General features: G+C 45.8%; 2 protein-coding genes across 8 annotated transcripts in view, besides 2 other annotated features; one reads left to right on the top strand and one right to left on the bottom strand.

Moving 5' to 3' along the window:
• Positions 1 to 10,096: 10,096 nt before the first annotated feature.
• Positions 10,097 to 15,208, bottom strand: MOCS3 (molybdenum cofactor synthesis 3). The gene has a single exon (NM_014484.5). The coding sequence runs from the start codon at positions 15,181 to 15,183 to the stop codon at positions 13,801 to 13,803; it is 1,383 nt and encodes a 460-aa protein (NP_055299.1). The 5' UTR covers positions 15,184 to 15,208; the 3' UTR covers positions 10,097 to 13,800.
• Positions 14,425 to 15,035: an enhancer, noted in NCBI's record as "H3K27ac-H3K4me1 hESC enhancer chr20:49575528-49576138 (GRCh37/hg19 assembly coordinates)". NCBI's record gives its function as "activates a minimal SCP1, AML or CMV promoter by ChIP-STARR-seq in primed H9 embryonic stem cells {active_cell/tissue: H9 hESC(primed)}" and the evidence as "EXISTENCE:reporter gene assay evidence [ECO:0000049][PMID:30033119]".
• Positions 15,248 to 15,737: an enhancer, noted in NCBI's record as "active region_18108". NCBI's record gives its function as "activates an Ori minimal core promoter by ATAC-STARR-seq in GM12878 lymphoblastoid cells {active_cell/tissue: GM12878}" and the evidence as "EXISTENCE:reporter gene assay evidence [ECO:0000049][PMID:35858748]".
• The window catches only part of DPM1 (dolichyl-phosphate mannosyltransferase subunit 1, catalytic), a 23,710-nt gene continuing 20,694 nt past the window's right edge, over positions 15,462 to 18,477 (top strand). For 5 of the 7 annotated variants that reach the window (XR_007067482.1, NM_001317036.1, NM_001317035.1 and 2 more), the window contains exon 1: positions 15,462 to 15,663. Coding sequence is in view for 5 of the 7 variants with exons in the window: in NM_001317036.1 (NP_001303965.1) it covers positions 15,503 to 15,663 (161 nt within the window). In the remaining 2 variants the exon portion in view is untranslated. The remainder of the gene's footprint in view (positions 15,664 to 18,477) is intronic. The other 2 variants (NR_133648.2, NM_003859.3) reach the window with 1 other exon arrangement.

The following is an 18,477-nucleotide window of genomic DNA, read 5'->3' as shown; positions in this document are numbered from 1 at the left end:
AGATAGTTGCTTTTTTAAAAAAAAATCTTGACCAGGTGCGGTGGCTCACGCCTGTAATCCCAGCACTTTGGGAAGCTGAGGTGGGCAGATCACCTGAGGTCAGGAGTTCAAGACCAGCCTGGCCAACATGGTAAAAATCTGTCTCTACTAAAAATACAAAAAATTAGCCAGGCGTGGTGCTAGACGCCTGTAATCCCAGCTACTCAGGAGGCTGAGGCAGGAGAATCACTTGAACCTGGGAGGCGGAGGTTGCAGTGAGCTGAGACTGTGCCACTGCACTCCAGCCTGGGCAAAAAGAGCAAAACTCCATCTCAAAAGAACCAAAAAACCTTATGTTTTAGAAACATTTATGGATAAAATTATGTGGCAGTCAGAATTTTAAGATGATTTCCAATTGGCCATGCCCTTGTGTGGGTGAGAATAAATAAATAAATAAAAGAAGGGCAGTAGAAAGGCTGATTAAACCAAAGATGAATTAAGATCTTTCCCTAGGAAAAATATCAACATCTTAGAAGATAGCTGGACCATATGAAGAGGCAAATAAGAGCTAAAAGACCAAAATCTTAAAGGACAACAGACTACACCCAGGTTTCTTGGCCCCTACAGGGTTATCTGAAAAAGGGAGAACACCTGACTGCTACTAGGACCCAAACAAATCCTCCAGAGGAGAAAAGGTCAGATCTTGGCAGACTGGAGCAGCCTCTGAAGATGGAGGCAAGATACGGAAAACTCTAAAAGCTGCAGAGAGAGAGAGCCCAAATAAAGAGCCAGAAGAGAACTGTCCCCTGAAGCTAGCTTGGTACTGACTGGAGAGGAGAATATCACAGTAAAATATCAAAATTATTATTGGATGATTTCCAGGTGATGATTTTTCGGGTGAGGACACAGGACTTGCCTGTGTCCAAAAGAACAGGCCTGAAAACCTTATGCAACCCCAGCTCTAATGATAGGTTCAGTAAAGATAAGACAAATCAAAGAGGAACCACAGACTGAGTCCAAGCCTGGTTCAGAAGTGGGTCTGATGGGCCAGGCGCAGTGGCTCATGCCTGTAATCCCAGCACTTTAGGAGGCCAAGGTGAGCAGATCACTTGAGCTCAAGAGTTCAAGACAAGCCTGAGCAATGTGGCAAAAGCCCATCTCTACAAAAAATACAAAAATTAGTTGAGTGTGGTGACACAAGCCTGTGGTTCCAGCTTCTCAGGAGGCTGAGGCAGGAGGATCCCTTGAGCCTAGGAGGTTGAGGCTGCAGCAAGCTGATTATGCCATTGCACTCCAGACGGCAAGACAGAATGAGACCCTGTCTCTAAAGAAATTTATTTATTTATTTATTTATTTATTTTTTGAGGCGGAGTCTCGCTCCGTCACCCAGGCTGGAGTGCAGTGGTGCGATCTTGGCTCACTGCAAGCTCTGCCTCCCGGGTTCATGCCATTCTCCTGCCTCAGCCTCCCGAGTAGCTGGGACTACAGGCACCCGCCACCACGCCCGGCTAATTTTTTTGTATTTTTAATAGAGACGGGGTTTCACCATGTTAGCCAGGAGGGTCTCAATCTCCTGACCTCGTGATCCGCCCACCTCGGCCTCCCAAAGTGCTGGGATTACGGGCGTGAGCTACCGTGCCCAGCCAAGAAATTATAAAAATTTAAAAAGTAACCTTTTCATGGGAGATTTCTCCCAATTCAGGGGTCAGGCAATTACAGGCCACCACCCATTTTTGAAACTAAAGTTTTATTGGAAATACTGCCATGCCCATCTGTCTAAGTATCGTCTATGGCCGTTTTCACAGTGTAGCAGTTGAGTTGTGTCATTGCAGCAGAGATCATATGGCTCACAAAGTTGAAAATATTTTTATTCTGGCCCTTTACAGAACAAGCATGCTGACCCCTGTTCCAACTGGATTTACATTCATGGATTGTGGACATGTGGACACAAAACACAGACTGCCTTGCATCCTGATGAAGCTGGAACCAGTATTATTTTCTGCTTTTATCTTTAGCAGTAATAAAACATGGGCCTGGATTATACCAGGAGGTGGGTTGTGGGTGTATCATTTTGCTTGTGTTAGGGGAACACGGTCTGCTCAGGGCTGAAACTGGCTTCTTCAGAAAAAGTCGTGGGCACAGGGCTAGGGCTGCTATTTCCTTCTTGCGTGATCTCTCTTTCAACCCTTTAAGAAGGCTCCTGGAGACTCATTCAGCCTTTGAGATCCTAAAGGAATCACACCTGTTTAGGGTAAACAGCTCAGGTTGCAGCTACTGAAGGGTCCTCTACCTGACCATCATAATGAGACTCCACATGGCTGAGACTGAACAGATAAGAAATCAGGGAAGATGAATTTGGACTCTAATTGTTTTGGTCTTACAGCTCATAAGGGTAAGGGGGACCAGGTATGGTGGCTCATGCCTGTCATCCCAGCACTTTTGGAGGCCGAGGCGGGTGGATCACATGAGGTCAGGAGTTCAAGACCAACTTGGCCAACATGGTGAAAACCCCGTCTCTACTAAAAATACAAAAAAAATTAGCCAGGCAAGGTAGCACATGCCTGTAATCCCAATACTTGGGAAGCTGAGATAGGAGAATCGCTTGAACCCAGGGGGCAGATGTTGCAGTGAGCTGAGATTGTGCCATTGCACTCCAGCCTGGGCAACAAGAGCAAAACTCCATCTCAAAAAAAAGGCGGGGGGGAGGTGGGCAAGAGTATTTGAGTTCAGCCTTTAATTCCTTTGGACTTCAATTGTGCCTTTGGTTACAAGGAATCTTTGGATATTAATTTGTCCCAGGGAATATAATGAAGACTTTATATTCAAATATGAAATATACTGTTGGCTTTTATTATGAGAGTATATTTAATCTCATTACCAAACCTCTGATGAGCCACACTGGACAACAAAGCTGCACATAATTTGAGATGGGAAAGAAATAGGGAATTAATTGTCAGTGAAGAGTAGCCTTTGGGTTGATTTAATGAGCATGCCTTTCCAAGCCCACTGCTGGGCCACTCTGTCTAGGAGTTTCCACAAGGAGCACTGGCTGGTATTGGAGTTCAAGAAGGCAAAGCCAGGAATGGCTTCAGAGACCACTATCGCCCCATGGAGGCAACCCACCCTTGGGTGTCCAAAGGCCTAATAGTTATACCTAATGGGTCAAGAGAACCAATGCTGGAAGGGAGATTGTGGAAGGACACCTATTTCCCATTCTTTCTGTTTCCTTGGAGAGGCACTTCCATTAAAACAGCAGTCAACTCCAATGTGGCTGCACACTGGGCTCATCTGGAATCATGGGGTCACCTGATTTAGCAACAATAAATATAAGACACCCAGTAAAATGGGCATTTCAGGTAAACAGCAAATATGTTTTTAATGTAAGTATCTCCCATGCAATCTTTGGGAAATACTTGCATCAAGAAAAAAAAAAGATGTTGTTTATCTGAAATGCACATTTAACTGGGCATTCTGTAGTTTATCTGACAACCTTGGGAGGGGGAACTCTTTAAAAAATAATAATAATACCAATGAGGCTAGCCACAGTTGCTGGCTCATACCTGTTACCCCAGCACTTTGGGAGGCCAAGGTGGGAGGATGGCTTGAGCCTAGGAGTTCAAGACCAGCTTGGGCAATATAGTGAGACCTCGTCTCTACAGAAAACAATTTTTTGAAAGTAGCTGAGCGTGGTAGGAGGTGCCTGTAGTCTCAGCTACTCAGGAGGCTGCAGTGGGAGAATTGCTTGAACCCAGGAGGTTGAGGCTGCAGTGAGCTATGATTGTGCCACTGCACTCCAGCATGGGCAACAGAGGGAGACAGTGTCTCAAAGAATAAAAAATAAATAAACTTTTAAATACCAACGTTTGACCCCTGAGATTCTGGCTTCATTGGGCTGGAATGCTGCCTGAGCAACAGGACTATTCAAAGCACCCCAAGCGGCGGGGCGCAGTGGCTCATGCCTGTAATCCCAGCAGGCTGAGGTGGGTGGATCACCAGAGGTCACGAGTTTGAGACCAGCCTGGCCAACATGGTGAAGCCCCGTCTCTAGTAAAAAGACAAAAATTAGCCGAGGATGGTGGCGCAGGCCTGTAGTTTGAGACCAGCCTGGCCAACATGGTGAAGCCCCATCTCTACTAAAAAGACAAAAATTGGCTGAGGATGGTGGTGCATGCCTGTAATCCCAGCTACTTGGGAGGCTGAGGCAGGAGAATTGCTTGAACCCGGGAGGTGGAGGTTGCAGTGAGCCAAGATCGTACTACTGCACTCCAGCCTGGGCGACAAAAGTGAAACTCTATCTCAAAAAAAAAGTGCCCCAAGCCATTTTACTCTGCAGCTGAGGTGGAGTGGAGAGTGCTGCCCCAGAGTAAGTCCTGGTGTCTCTCTGTCTTGCTCCACCTTCCCACGCCCATCCAGGAAGGATGACTGATGTGGCCAGCTGGAGAGTTTGAGAGAAGGAACTGGGCATATGTGCTCTGCCTTGCCTCTTGCCTCTTTTTAAGATTGGCCTGGGGGTGGGGGGTTGTCTGCTGAGCAGCAGGGCGGCTCTGTCCCTCTGGTGGACCTGCAGACTGGGACAGTATGTGTGTGGGAAAGGGTGGGACAGCATGTTAGCAAGACTGGCCATACCTAAACATAGTCCCCAAATATTAGGTTGGTGCAAAAGTAATCGTGGTTCTTTCCATTACTTGTTTTTTTGTTATGTTTTGTTTTGTTTGTGTGTTTGTTTTTGACACAGAGTCTCACTCTGTCGCCTAGGCTGGAGTGCAGTGGCGCCATCTCAGCTCACTGCAACCTCCGCCTCCTGGGTTGAAGAGATTCTCCTGCTTCAGCCTCCAGAGAATCTGGGATTGTAGGCACCTACCACCACACCCCAACTAATTTTTGTATTTTTAGTAGAGACAGGGTTTCACCATGTTGGCTAGGCTGGTCTTGAACTCCTGGCCTCAAGTGATCCACCCGCCTTCGCCTCCCAAAGTGCTGGGATTACAGGCATGAGCTACCGCACCTGGCCCGTGTTTTTGCCATTACTTTTAATGACAAAACCACAATTACTTTTGCACCAACCTAATAGCTTTCTTACTCATAAAGGTGGAATTTTCATCGTCTTCCTAACTCAAGCATCTCTTTCTCACTTGGTTCTGAACCTCAGTATGAAAGAAAAGGATGCGAAGCATTGGCCCTCTAAAATCCCAACATCTGCTACCTCCTTTTCCTTTTTTTGGCTTGGCTAATTCGCTCGCATTCTTCACGTCTCAGCTCAAAGGTCCTTTTCTCCAAGAGGCCTTCCCCAGACAAAGCAAGCCCCCCGGCAGTATGTATGCTTTCATAAAACCCTCAGAATTTCTTTTTTCTTTCTGGCCTACATTGAAACTGTCATTGATAAAAGCAGAATATCTCAACCTCGACACAATTGACGTTGGGGGTCCAGATGATTCTTTGCGATGGGGGCTGTCCTGGACATTGTAGGATGTTTATCAGCATCCCTGGCCTCTCCCTGCTGGATGCCAGTAGCACCTCCCCTCCCCCCGCAGTTGTGACAATCAAAATGTCTCCAGACATGGCGGAGTGCCCTACACTATATTATTGAGTTCAAGGCCAGCTGCATGAGTGCACGGCGTGTGCAGTCACAGGGCCGCATGCTCAGAGGGCCTTGTGCTTGGTTGAATGCTCCGCTGTCATCATGATATTCTTTTTGTTTGGTTGGTTTTGGTGCAAATTTAATTTTATTAAAGCAGCCTTGATGACAGCTTGATTTTAGGACTTCGACTTCCAGAACTGTAAGACAATAAAGGAGTGTTGTGACATATCATTTTCAACTGTGTGACAATTTATTGGCTGGCAATGAAATTATTAGTAGTTTTTGAACAGGGAACCTACAAATTATGTCGCTAGTTCTCACTGTGTACCTCGTTTTTTAACACTACTCTCCTCATTTCAAAGCAACGATGGGGGCTTTGGAGGAGCAAAGAATGTGTCTACCTTATTCACAGTGCTGTCTTCCCGGTGCTGGTGAAGAGAAGGTGCTCAAAAATATTTGAGGAAGGCAGGGAGTGATGGAGAAGCTCAATTTAGGCCCTGCAGCTACCCCTGGCTGAGAAACAGAAGGAAAGAATCACCTCGGTCCACTGGCATAAGCTGCTCTATTCATCAGCGAAGCCTTCCTTCCCGAGGCTGCAGGAACATTCTTCCAAACTCTTCAAGCGTGTCAAATGGCAAGTGTCCCCTGTGTGGTCTGTGGGTCTCTCCCTCGGCTCTCCATATGCCATGTCAGCTGGGCCAAGCAGAAATCCCCAGATGTAATAAGATAAGGCCGGGTGAAAGCCTTAACACTGAATTTCTGAGCTCGGCTCATTCAAGGCAGCCTTTCACTTTGCATTAATTCTGGCCAATTTAGCTTGTCCTCCCATCTGAAAATCAGTCTACCAGGATGCAATTCTCATAGCCAGGGGAGCTAAGGTCAGCTAGGCAAGTATCTCTGGCAGCAGGAAAATGCCATTTATAGTAAAGCCACTTAAAGTGGGGACCCAAATTTCAAACTAAATAATGAAGGGGAAAAAAATGTTTGATTGGGGCTGCATCTTGAAAACTGATAGTAAAATTTCTAAGAATAAGCTTATTTCCTTTCATGGCTTTCTTTTATAGGTTCACAGTTTGCAGGGCCTCCCGGGGGGTGGGGTGGGGGATGGGAAAGAGCATGAGGGAGGCTCTGGGTTCCCCTACCATTATGTTTCTTGGTCTAGGAGGGAGATGGTGACAAGAGTGTGTTCAAGTTATGAAAATTAATCAAGCAGTACACTTAGAATTTGTGCATTTTTCTTTTTTAAAAATAGAGGCAGGGTCTCACTATGTTGCTCAGGCTGGTCTCGAACTCCGGGACTCAAGTGATCCCCTCATCTTGGTCTCCCAAAGTGCTGGGATTACAGGTGTGAGCCACCACACCCAGCCAGGATTTGTGCATTTTTCTATATATAATTTGTTCAATTAAAGATTTTTTATAATGGTTCCAAATTTCAGGAATCTCGAATTACTTGCTTAGTAGGATACTAAGCCTACAAAATATAAAGTAATACTTTACTGTATACTTAAGTCTATGGAGTTGCTGTCTCCTATCTGTAGGAGTAGAAGACAATTACTTCTTGGCTTGGGTTGGTTTGCCCCTGGTAAGGAGGTTTCTTGTGGCACCAGGAAGGTTTCATGATTCTCCATAAAGAACAGATTTGGCATGTCTTGCTTGGTGCTTCTCTCATTGTGTGTCTAATGATTCCATGGACATAAAAGAATACTCTATATTGAAGGAGAAAGTATGTTTCTTACTTGCTGTCCTCAGTCCTCCCCCAGTGGCTCTCATCAGTATCCTCATCCCAGTAAATAACACAAACATCCACCCAGTCCATCCAGGTGCTCAAGCCCAACCCTGAGGCATCTTGACTTCCCCCTCTCCCTCCTCTGATCCTTCAAAGATGTCCACCTCCAAGTCACCGCGCCAATCTGTCTACTTCCCTCCTCTCTACCACCCATTCTAGTCCTAGTGTGGCCAGTTGAATAACAGCCCCCAAAGATGTCAAGCCTGAAACCCTGGAGCCTGTAAATATGTTACTTTCATGGTAAAAGGGACTTTGCAGGTGTAATTTAAGTTAGGAAGTCTGATCCTTTGAGCTGGAGCTGCAAGGTTAAAAAAAAAAATCCTGTGATGGGGAGTGTAGCTTGGATTAGCCAGTTGGGCCCTATATAATCACAAGCCCTTAGAAGAGGCAGACAAGGCTGGATGCGGTGGCTCACGCCTATGATTCCAGCACTTTGGGAGCCTGAGGCGGATGGATCACCTGAGGTCAGGAGTTCGAGACCAGCCTGGCCAACATGGTGAAACCCTGTCTCTACTAAAAATACAAAAATTAGCCAGGCGTGGTGGCACATGCCTGTAGTCCCAGCTACTCGGGAGGCTGAGGCAGGAGAATCACTTGAACCCAGGAGGCGGAGGTTGCAGTGAGCCGAGATGGAGCCACTGTACTCCAGCCTGGGTGGCAGAGCGATACTCTGTCTCAAAAAAAAAAAAAAAAAAAAAAGAATGACAGAGTTTGTGAGGGAGAGTTGGACTGAGGGCATCACGACGGAGTTAGGGGTTGAAATTGATATACCACTGGCTTCGACGATGGAGGAAGGGTCGAGAGCCGATGAAGGCAGGCAGCCTCTAGAAGCTGGAAAAGGCCAGGAACGAATCCTCTCCCAGAGCCTCCAGAAAAAAAAGCAGCCCTGATCACACCTTGATTTTAGGACTTCTGACTTCCAGGATGGTAAGAGAATAAACCTGTGTCAAGCCACTTCGTTTGTGGTAACTTGTCACAGCAGCAATAGGAAACTGACATACTTAGGTGCCATCACTTTTCACCTGTGCCTAGCTGATCGCCTGCCTCTGTCCTTGCACCATAATCTCCCTTTTTCACAGAGGGGCCGGAAGAATCTTGGTAATTTAGAAACAGGGTCCCTGCACACCAGCACATCCTCCTTTTTTTTTTCTTTTTTTTTGAGATGGAGTTTCAATCTTTTGCTCAGGCTGGAGTGAAGTGGTGCAATCTCGGCTCACTGCAACCTCTGCCCCCCGGGTTCAAGCGATTCTCCCGCCTCAGCCTCCTGAATAGCTGGGATTACAGGCATGCACCACTACTGCCCGGCTAATTTTTGTATTTTTAGTAGAGACGGAGTTTTGCCATGTTGGCCAGGCTGGTCTCAAACTCCTGACCTCAGGTGATCCACCCACCTTGGCCTCCCAAAGTGCTAGGATTACAGGCGTGAGCCACTGTTCCTGGCCACATCCTCCTTCTTAAAACCTCCCATGGGTTTCCATGATCCTTAGAATAAGATCCAGCCTCCTCACCATAGCCCACAATGCCTTGCGCCATCTGGCCCTGGCCTCCCTCTTCCCATTCATTGTGCTCTGGCCTTAGCTGGCTTCTATGTGTATCCCAACTTGAAATGCTCTTTCCAGCCTCAGAACCCTTGCACTTGCTGTTCCCCTTGCCTGAATGCTCTTCCCAGCTCACCTCGTGGCTCCTGCCATCTCCTTCAAGCTTCTTGGCTGAAACGGCCCCTTGCCAGGGGTCTTCTCTGGCTACCACCCCAGCCCCCAGCCATTATTGCTTCTTACAAATCACAATCTATGACTGTATAACTGGTTATCTGTCCTCTCCCTCTTCTACTAGGATGTAAGGTTGTATGGACAAGACGCCCAGTCTGTCTTGTTCGTGGTTGTGTCCCTCTGTGTCAGGCATCAGTACCTGACCATTTGTAATGAGCATTAAATATTTCTTAAATGAACCCGTTGTGTTTCCTTGGCATGACCTAAATGACTTCCCCATTGCATGTCCTCTACTTATAATAAGCACTTGGGTTCTAGTTCTGATAGAATAGAAGCAAATAAATGGGAAACTCGGGCCTTTGTGCAAGGTCAGGGTTGTCAAGCCTACAGACATGGGCAGATGTTTCTCTACAGAGCAATGCGCATGAGGATAAAATACATAGCAGCTGTTGATTAATTAAATAGTCCTAAGCTGAGTTGCAGTGAGCCAAGATCATGCCAATGCACTCCAGCCTAGGAGAGAGAGACTCTGTCCCCCCCACAAAAAAAAAGGCAGCAGCAGCAGAAAAAAACACCTAGATAATTCACAACTGTTGTTTTTTAAATCGTGAATAATTGAACTAAAGATTGGAAACCAGAGTCAGTGTCAATCCACAGTACTTCATAATAAACTATCCTATTTTTCACCCAAATTCTGGGCTTGGTTTTTGTTTGTTTGAGACAGAATTTTACTCGTTGCCCAGGCTGGAGTGCAATGGCACGATCTCAGCTCACTGCAACCTCTGCCTCCCAGGTTCAAGTGATTCTCCTGCCTCAGCCTCCCAAGTAGCTGGGATTACAGGCGCACACCACCACACTCGGCAAATTTTGTTTTAGTAGAGACAGGGTTTCTCCATGTTGGCCAGGCTGGTCTCAACTCCTGACCTCAAGTGATCCACCCACCTCGGGACACTGCCTGTGTAATACACCAGTGTTACACAGAGGATTCCCCAAGATTTCACTCTGGAGTTCCACATCTAGAGAGAAGGAGGCATACCAAATGTCTCAGAGTACATTTCTATTGTATCTGGAATACACTTCCGTGATTGTCAGGACATAGATTGCTTTCTATGCCCTGACAGGGCATGAACACATATGAAGCAATGGCAAAGTTTTGCTTAGAGTCAGTATAGCATGACACTTAGGGAATGGGCTCTTCAACCAGAGCATCTGGATTCAAATCCCAAATAACACAGTAAGTGCTCAAAATATTAGCTATTATTGTATTTAGAATAAAAACCAAACTACTATGGTCTACAAAGTTTATGATGTTCCCTGCTTCTCAAACCTCACCCTGTCCCACTCTCCCTAATTGTTTGCAACCCAACTTGCCTCTGCAGTTTCTTGAACGGAACATTCCAAGTTTATTTACCTTGAGGTCTTTACAGTTATTTTTCTCCCAGTATAGAATTTTCCTCAGATCTTCTGTAACTGGCTCTTTCTCACCTTTCAGGTTTTGGGTTTAATGTCATCTCTGAGGCCTTCCATAATTAAGCTATTCAAAACAGATCCCCTCCCCCACCCTAATATGTCACAGTTTCATTTCTTTTATGGCACTTATCAGTAATTTACTTATCACCATTTAAATATAAACTCCTCTACAACAGGAAACCTCTTGCTCATTTTTATTCCAGAACCTAGAAGAACTAGTACACTGAAGGCATTTGATGTTTGTTATGAAAAGGAAACAACAAAAAAATCAAGTTCAGGCTGGGCATGGTGCCTCATACCCGTAATCCCAAGCACTTTGGGAGGCTGAGGCAGGAGGGATGCTTGAGCCCAGGAGTTTGAGATCAGCCTAGGCCACATATTCAGACCCCATTGCTACCAAAAAATTTTTAAATTAAAAAATGGCTAGGCATGGTGGCATACAACTGTAATTCAAGCTACTTGAGAGGCTGAGGTGGGAGGATCACTTGAACCCAGGAGGTTGAGGCCACAGCGAGCTGTGATCACAACACTACACTCCACCCTGGGCGACGAAGCAAGACTTCGTCTCAAAAAACAAATTATGTTCAAATCCTATCTCACCATAAAAACCTAGCTACAATCCCCAGAGAAAACCAAATTTCAAATACTAATATATGCCAGGTGCAGTGACTCATGCCTGTAATCCTAGCACTTTGGGAGGCTGAGGTGCACAGATCACCTGAGGTCAGGAGTTCAAGACCAGCCAGGCCAACATGGCGAAACCCCATCGCTACTAAAAATAGAAAAATTAGCCAGATGTGGTGGCAGGTGCCTGTAATCCCAGCTACTCAGGAGGCTGAGGCATGAGAATCACTTGAACATGGGAGGTGGAGGTTGCAGTGAGCCGAGATTGTGCCGCTGCACTCCATCCAGCCTGGGGGATAGAGCGAGACTCTGTCTCCAAAACAACAACAACAAAAAACAAATACTGAAATAGATCTGGGTTGTGTACTGGGTATCTGTTATATTCTTAACAGCCCATCTTTTGAAAAATATTTCACTATTTGGGAAAATCCCACATCATGAGTTCTGTCTTCCTATTGTAGATATCAAAACACAAATTCCCAGCCTCTCTTGCAGCTAAGATGTAGGCATGTAATTAGACTCTGCCTACCAGGCACCCTCATAAGGCTTGACTCAGAAAAGAATAATGTAGTGACTCTGTTTCTCGACACATGGACTGTGGCTGAAGTGTTGGGCTTTCTGGGAGAGTTGGGGGGGCACGTCAAGTGAAACTGGTGAGACTGTAGTGGCGTTTCCTCCGGTACTTGATAGGGCAGCACAACATAGACACTGTTCTCCTAAGGCCAGTTTTGTGCATGATTTCGGGCATCATTCCTAGAAGTACAGCCTTGAATCTGTCCCCAAAATTCTCAAAAGCACCTCCTATCACTTTAGTAAACCTTTTAACACTTAGCTAGTCAGCTTCTCTTGCCTGTCCCCTGTGACAACCAGGTTTATAGGAACTACAACTGTCTATAACTTTAGGACTTCAGTCTTTAGAATATGAAATTGTTCCTGTGTGTCGCTATTTGTTTCCTGCTATGTATCAGAATCAGTTGTCCCTGGAAGAAGGAGATGAAAAACACAGGCCAGCCATCTTTGTTCTCCACTCCAGGTCACAGTCATTTACCTCCATAACTCGTTGGCAGGAACAGTCATAAGAGACCTGCTTCATCTTTATAACAGAAGGGTATACCATACTTTAAGTATACCTGTTCAAAGAATTAGTTACAATGTTTCACAGTTAAAAAGTGATGACTAATTTTGAATTTGTTAAATACCACCCTCTTATAATAAAACAAGATTCTATATCACAAATTGCAAACTGGTAAGTAAATCTGGTCTACAAAGGGTTTTTGCTGGCTTATGATACATTTAAGCTTTAAAAAAAATGGTTAACAGAAATACAAAGATTTTATAGTTGTATCTGTGATTTCTGCCATTCTTAAAAAAACAACAGCAGCAATTGATGATTATAAGCCTGCATGCAGCAAGCAGGAGGTCACAGGCCCCCTTCTGACAAGCCATTAGTTCATCTGGCCACTGATAGGCACTCACAAATCAAATTTTTACTTATAATGTTGTTGTATATATTGGAAGTTGGTGAGACTACCTACTATTTTATGAAAATGTTAAGTAAACAAACATAAAAACATTTTACATTAGTATAAAATGCTGGAATAAAAAAACATTAAATCAAAAGAGAAAAGGCAAATTAAAGGGGGAGAGGCAAAGGGTTGGGACTTTGACTTGAAAATTCCAAAGCAAGTCAAACCATAGTATGCAATTTAAACGATGTGATATGTGTGCAACATAAGGTGGACCCTGAAGTTAACTTTAAGAAAACAGTAGCAATTTATAAGAGACACTGACAGACTACAAAGGTGGTTTCCTTTATTTTGGTAAACTTTAAAGATCTCGGGAGGGTGTGGTGGCTCACGCCTGTAATCCCAGCACTCTGGGAAGTCGAGGCAGGCGGATCACGAGGTCAGGAGTTCGAGACCAGCCTGACAAACATGGTGAAACCCCCTCTGTACTAAAAATACAAAAATTAGCCAGGCGTGGTGGCGTGCGCCTGTAATCCCAGCTACTCAGGAGGCTGAGGCAGGAGAATCGCTTGAACCTGGGAGGCGGAGGTTGCAGTGAGCTGAGATCGCACCACTACACTCCAGCCTGGGCAACAGAGAGAGATTCCATCTCAAAAAAAAAAAAAAAATCTCATTTTGATACTAATTCAAAAGGCCAAATAGAATGACCCTCTTTCTGAATAATTAAAACAATTTACATTTTAAACATGTATTTCTGTAGGATGTATTCTATCATCTGAAATATTAATAAGATCCAAGAATTTCTTAACTGAACAGTAAACAGATCCGAAGTATATAATCTGTGAAAATGATTTAGAAAGCATTTTGACTGGGGGAGGTGGAAAATAAGGACATGTAAATGATCTGCAGTTTAAAATGCAAAATCCTGTCACGTTACATCTCACATGTCCAAGACATCCTCCGTGTGCTGAAAAAAAAAATGATGGTTCTCAGAAACGGTATAATCCATTAATAAGTCATTCATCCAATACATAACAATTTTTAAAACTCCTTATAAAAAGGAGTCCACGTATTCACAGATACTGTAGAATCCCCAGCTCCTATGTATATTACCGAAAAATGCAAACAAGTGTATCTTTGAGGTATTATGGCAATCCACATCTTTCTCATCAGACTATACCAGTCACCTCAGTACTGTGGAAATGTTCCATCGATTTTGGCAGCCCAGGCCATGAGGCCCCCCACAACATCCCGAACTGTTAAAGGGTCTAACTCTTGAGCTGCTGATAAGGACTGGAGGATCTTCACGGCTTTCTGTGAGTCATTTCCCAGTTTGCAAATCACATAAATGGGGACAGCAGCCCCTTCTTGTGTGCCCTGCTTCTCTTCCCAGATTGCTTCTTTTAAGAGTTTCAGGCTCTCCGCATCCCTGCGTTCCAAATGTTTCAGAGGGATGTGTAGGGCATGAGGCAAACGACAAATGTCCACCTCCACCTGAGGCCTGACGTCCAGCAACAGGTGGAATGCCCCAGAATCCAGCAGTCGCTTATAGTCGGTGACAGAAACACGCTCCTCTGGGCTCAGTAGTTGCAGGGAGCGGCATTTATCAGTGGCTGAGGAGCCACAGAAGGCTTCATAGTCCAGCAGATCAGTCACAGTGGGCCGTTCCCCGCAAGCTGCACAGTCGAGCCTGCGGCTCCGCAGCCGAATAGAGCGGAAATGCCCTCTCAGGGCATCAAAGAGCAACAAGCTGCCACTGTAAGAGGGGCCCAGACCCGCAGCGATTTTCAGCACTTCCAAGGCCTGCAGGCAGCCCAGGACCCCGGTAACGACACCGAGCACCCCGCCGTCCGCGCAGTTGGTCACTGTCTCCGCTGGGGGTGGTTGGGGGAATATGCAGCGATAGCAAGGGCCACCGTCATAATGGTAGACTGTGATTTGGCCCTCGAAGCGCAAGGCACTGGCAGACACGAGGGGCCGACCCGCCAGCACACATGCGTCATTAACCAGGTAGCGAGTGGGCACGTTGTCCGAGCAGTCAGCCACCACATCATATCGGCGGACCAGGTCTAGGGCAGTGGCTGGCGTAAGGGCCTGAGTGTACGGCACGCATTCCACTGCCGAATTGAGGCGGCGCAGCGAGGCGGCGGCCGAAAAGGCCTTGGCCTGGCCAGCCAGTGCCTCGCCATGCAGCACTTGGCGGGCCAGGTTGCTCATCTCTACCACGTCATAGTCCACAAGGCCAAGGCGGCCCACGCCGGCCGCTGCCAAGTACTGCGCTAGTGGACAGCCGAGCCCACCGCAGCCCACGATTAGCACGCACGCGGTCCCCAGGCGCAGCTGTCCGTGCACGCCCAGCTCGGGCAGCACTAGCTGCCGGCTATAGCGCAGAATCTCATCTCGGGACAGAGCGGCCTTCGGCGGCAGCGGCGACACCGGAACCAGCCGTTCTGGCTGCGGTTCCTGCTCAGCCAAAAGAGCCGACGCCAGCTTCTGCTTCAGCGAATTCAATTCCTCCTCACGTTGGGCAACTTCAGCTTGTAAGGCGAGTACCTCCTCCCGGGAAGCCATGGCGACCTCTTCCGGAAGTTGTCGTGAAAGGCATTTCCGCTTCCGTCTTCTGTCTCCTAGCGACTGGGATAAACTAAAAAACTTTATGGAGCTTGGGAAAAGGTGATGAATAGATATTTACTTCCTGAAGAAACCTTCAGATTAAACTTCAAAGATGTATAAATCCAGAATATTTCTAATTGAACCACGCAATGGCCCTAGAAGAACTAGCGATCAATCACACAGGTCATCCCCCGCTTCCGAATTTGGTACGGTCCGACCCGTCCTTTTCCGCGCCACATTACGTAATTCCGCTTCCGGCATCTGGCTCAGTTCCGCCATGGCCTCCTTGGAAGTCAGTCGTAGTCCTCGCAGGTCTCGGCGGGAGCTGGAAGTGCGCAGTCCACGACAGAACAAATATTCGGTGCTTTTACCTACCTACAACGAGCGCGAGAACCTGCCGCTCATCGTGTGGCTGCTGGTGAAAAGCTTCTCCGAGAGGTAGCGCACCAGGTCTCCCTCCCCGAAGAATGAGATGAGCTGGCTTCCCCGGCCCGGGTGTCGGCAGCTGGCTGCGCGAAGCGGCCCTGTCCAGCCTTCTTTGCCTCACACAGGAAGGCCCGGGGAGAGGGCCACCCTGCGAGGGAAGCAGAGGCGGATGCTTGTTGGGTTTTCTTCGTGTCCTGGGTTCTCATTCCTGCCCTTGGGTTTTGTGAGACTCTCATTTATCTTTATTATGTAGTACTCCCGTCCCCCGCCTTTCCGTAGAAAGGTTGGCCACTCTTTTACTTGGAAGCGAGGCTGAAAGCGTGATCCCACTCCTCCCTCTAGGCGGTCAGGATCTGCGGCAAGAGCCGGGAGTCCAAGCGAGAGCTCTCACTCTCCGCTCCGGTGCCGAGTGCTTACATAAGCATGAGGTTTGGTGTGTGTGGGTTAGGGAGCTATTGCTGGGCACGATAACCTTTCTGGAAAGGAGAAAGCAGAAGAGCATCTTCGCTGATCACTGGTGGATGTTTGGTGTGATTGTTAGAACCGGGATGGGGGGTGGGTGGAGTTCGAATTTGGAAGTGTTAATGCAGTGTTTTTAAAAACTGCAAAAAATCCTGGAGTCAGTACGAAGTAACTTGTTTTACGATTGCACAAATGGGATCATGCTGTGAAATCTTTGAAGACTTTTTCTCATATTAACATGTACAAACATAGCAAATTACTTTGGAAGTTAGGTAACATTCCATATGGCTGTGTTATTTATTTAATCAGGTCATGGCAATGAACTGGATTATTTCCAGCGCCTTTTGGTTGTTTCTGTTTTTTGGCTTTTGCTTTGTCGATGAGAACAAGGACTTTGTTCACACCATATTTTCCAGCTAAATTTAGAAAAGTGCTTGACACATAGCGGTGCTCCTTTATTGCATCAGTGTTGGCAGCAGACGCGTTCATACTTTTACTTGTGTACTAGGGATAAATTCTTCGAGGTAGGATTGCTGGGTCGACAGAAATGTGCTTAAAATGGACAGTTACTGCCAAATTGCTCTAAAGAAAAAAAAGGTTGTACAAGTTTGGACTCTCCATTCTTCAGAGTGCCTGTTTCCCTATCAACCAGCCCGCCTGAGCATTAGACTTAACATTGTTGGAAGTACTCATTTGTGAAAACCATTGCTGTTTTGATTGTATTTCCTTGAATAACTGCCTTCATATGCCTTGCCCCTCAGAGTTTTAAAATTTTTATTTTTCCTGTTTAATCTTTTAATTTTGATTTCTATAAGCTCTAAATTAAAGAAAGTAACTATCATACAACCGATCTCGTTCAGGGCTTGTATTCTAATTTTGCAATTTTTTTTTTTGCTGTTTTAATTTTTTTATGTAGTACAATTTATGTTTCCTTTTAATGGTTTGTGAATCAATCTTTTAAGATCAAAATGAAGTTTGATAAAGGAAACAAAACTTTTCAGATGCAATCAAATTACTTGAAGTCAGCCCAGCTTGGTACCTTTGAGCTGCCTCACCCTCAGGTGGTGTAGCTGCTTTGAAGTGGTAGGGGACAGTAATTTGCTTTTAACGACCCCATTTTGTTTATGGAATTTCTCTTTCAGCACGTCTATTAAAATCACCTTACATATTTTGGCATGTAAAGGCACCAGTGCCCAGATTTAAGGCACAGTGGGAAGCCAAAGTCATTGTTCTACTCTTGGAGAATAGATAACACAGGGGTTTGCTTTCTTGTCTTCAAAGTTTGCTGGGGCTGACTTGTTAAAGCCTTTAACAGTGGAATATGTTTTCTGGTTGATTTTCTTGTATTTGTTTCTTTTTTCTTTTTCTTTTTTTTTTTTTTCTTTTGGAGACGGAGTCTTGCTCTGTTGCCCAGGCTGGAGTGCGGTGGCGCCATCTTGGCTCACTGCAGGCCCCGCCTCCCGGGTTCTTTTTAGTAGAGACGGGGTTTCACTGTGTTAGCCAGGATGGTCTCGATATCCTGACCTCGTGATCCGCCTGCCTCGGCCTCCCAAAGTGCTGGGATTACAGGTGTGAGCCACCGCGCCCAGCCTCTTGTATTTGTTTCTTAAAGCAGGACCAAGAGAAAACGGAATGTTATGTCGTAGGTATTATTTATCCACCAAGTATTGTGTTGGTTTGTTTTTAGACTAGAAACTACCACCTGAGATTAATGGGAAGTAACAGATGTTAATTCTGAAGCACAGTGGAATCTTTTGTAATGCTACTCTGCTTTTGTTTTTTTAATTTGATAATGTGAGGTAATAGGCACAACTATTTGAAATTGTGGTTTAAGATAATGTCACCATTCTAAAATCGGTTTTTTTAAAGATGAAATTAAATCAGATTTATACTTGATTATTCTATTTGGATCAGATTAACAAGAATAATCACTGAGTTACTCAGTTTGGTTTGAGTTACCATGTAAAGTACTTTTGAAATATTTTATGTAACTAAGATTTGCTATTAAGGTTCAGAATATTATTTCCAAATAGGTAATAAAATTTCATATGGCTGGGCACGGAGGCTCATGCCTGTAATCCCAGCATTTTGGGAGGCTGAGGCGGGCAGATCACGAGGTCAGGAGATTGAGACCAGGCTGGCTAACACGGTGAAACCCCGTCTCTACTAAAAATACAAAAAATTAGCCGGGCGTGGTGGTGGGCGCCTGTAGTCCCAGCTACTCCGGAGGCTGAGGCAGGAGAATTGCTTGAGGCCAGGAGGCAGAGGTAAGCCGAGACTGCGCCACTGCATTCCAGCCTGGCAACAGAGCAAGACTCCATCTCAAAACAAAAAAAATTCATATGATACATAGGTCATTACGTG

This window comes from Homo sapiens, chromosome 20 (assembly GCF_000001405.40).
Source record: "Homo sapiens chromosome 20, GRCh38.p14 Primary Assembly".
In the NCBI taxonomy this organism is placed as follows: domain Eukaryota; kingdom Metazoa; phylum Chordata; class Mammalia; order Primates; family Hominidae; genus Homo; species Homo sapiens.
Note: the sequence above shows the minus strand (reverse complement) of the source record. Positions and strands in the feature narration are given on the sequence as shown.

Excerpts from the sequence above, each read along its gene's own strand:
- MOCS3 (NM_014484.5), bottom strand. The coding sequence starts at position 15,183 with ATGGCTTCCCGGGAGGAGGTACTCGCCTTACAAGCTGAAGTTGCCCAA.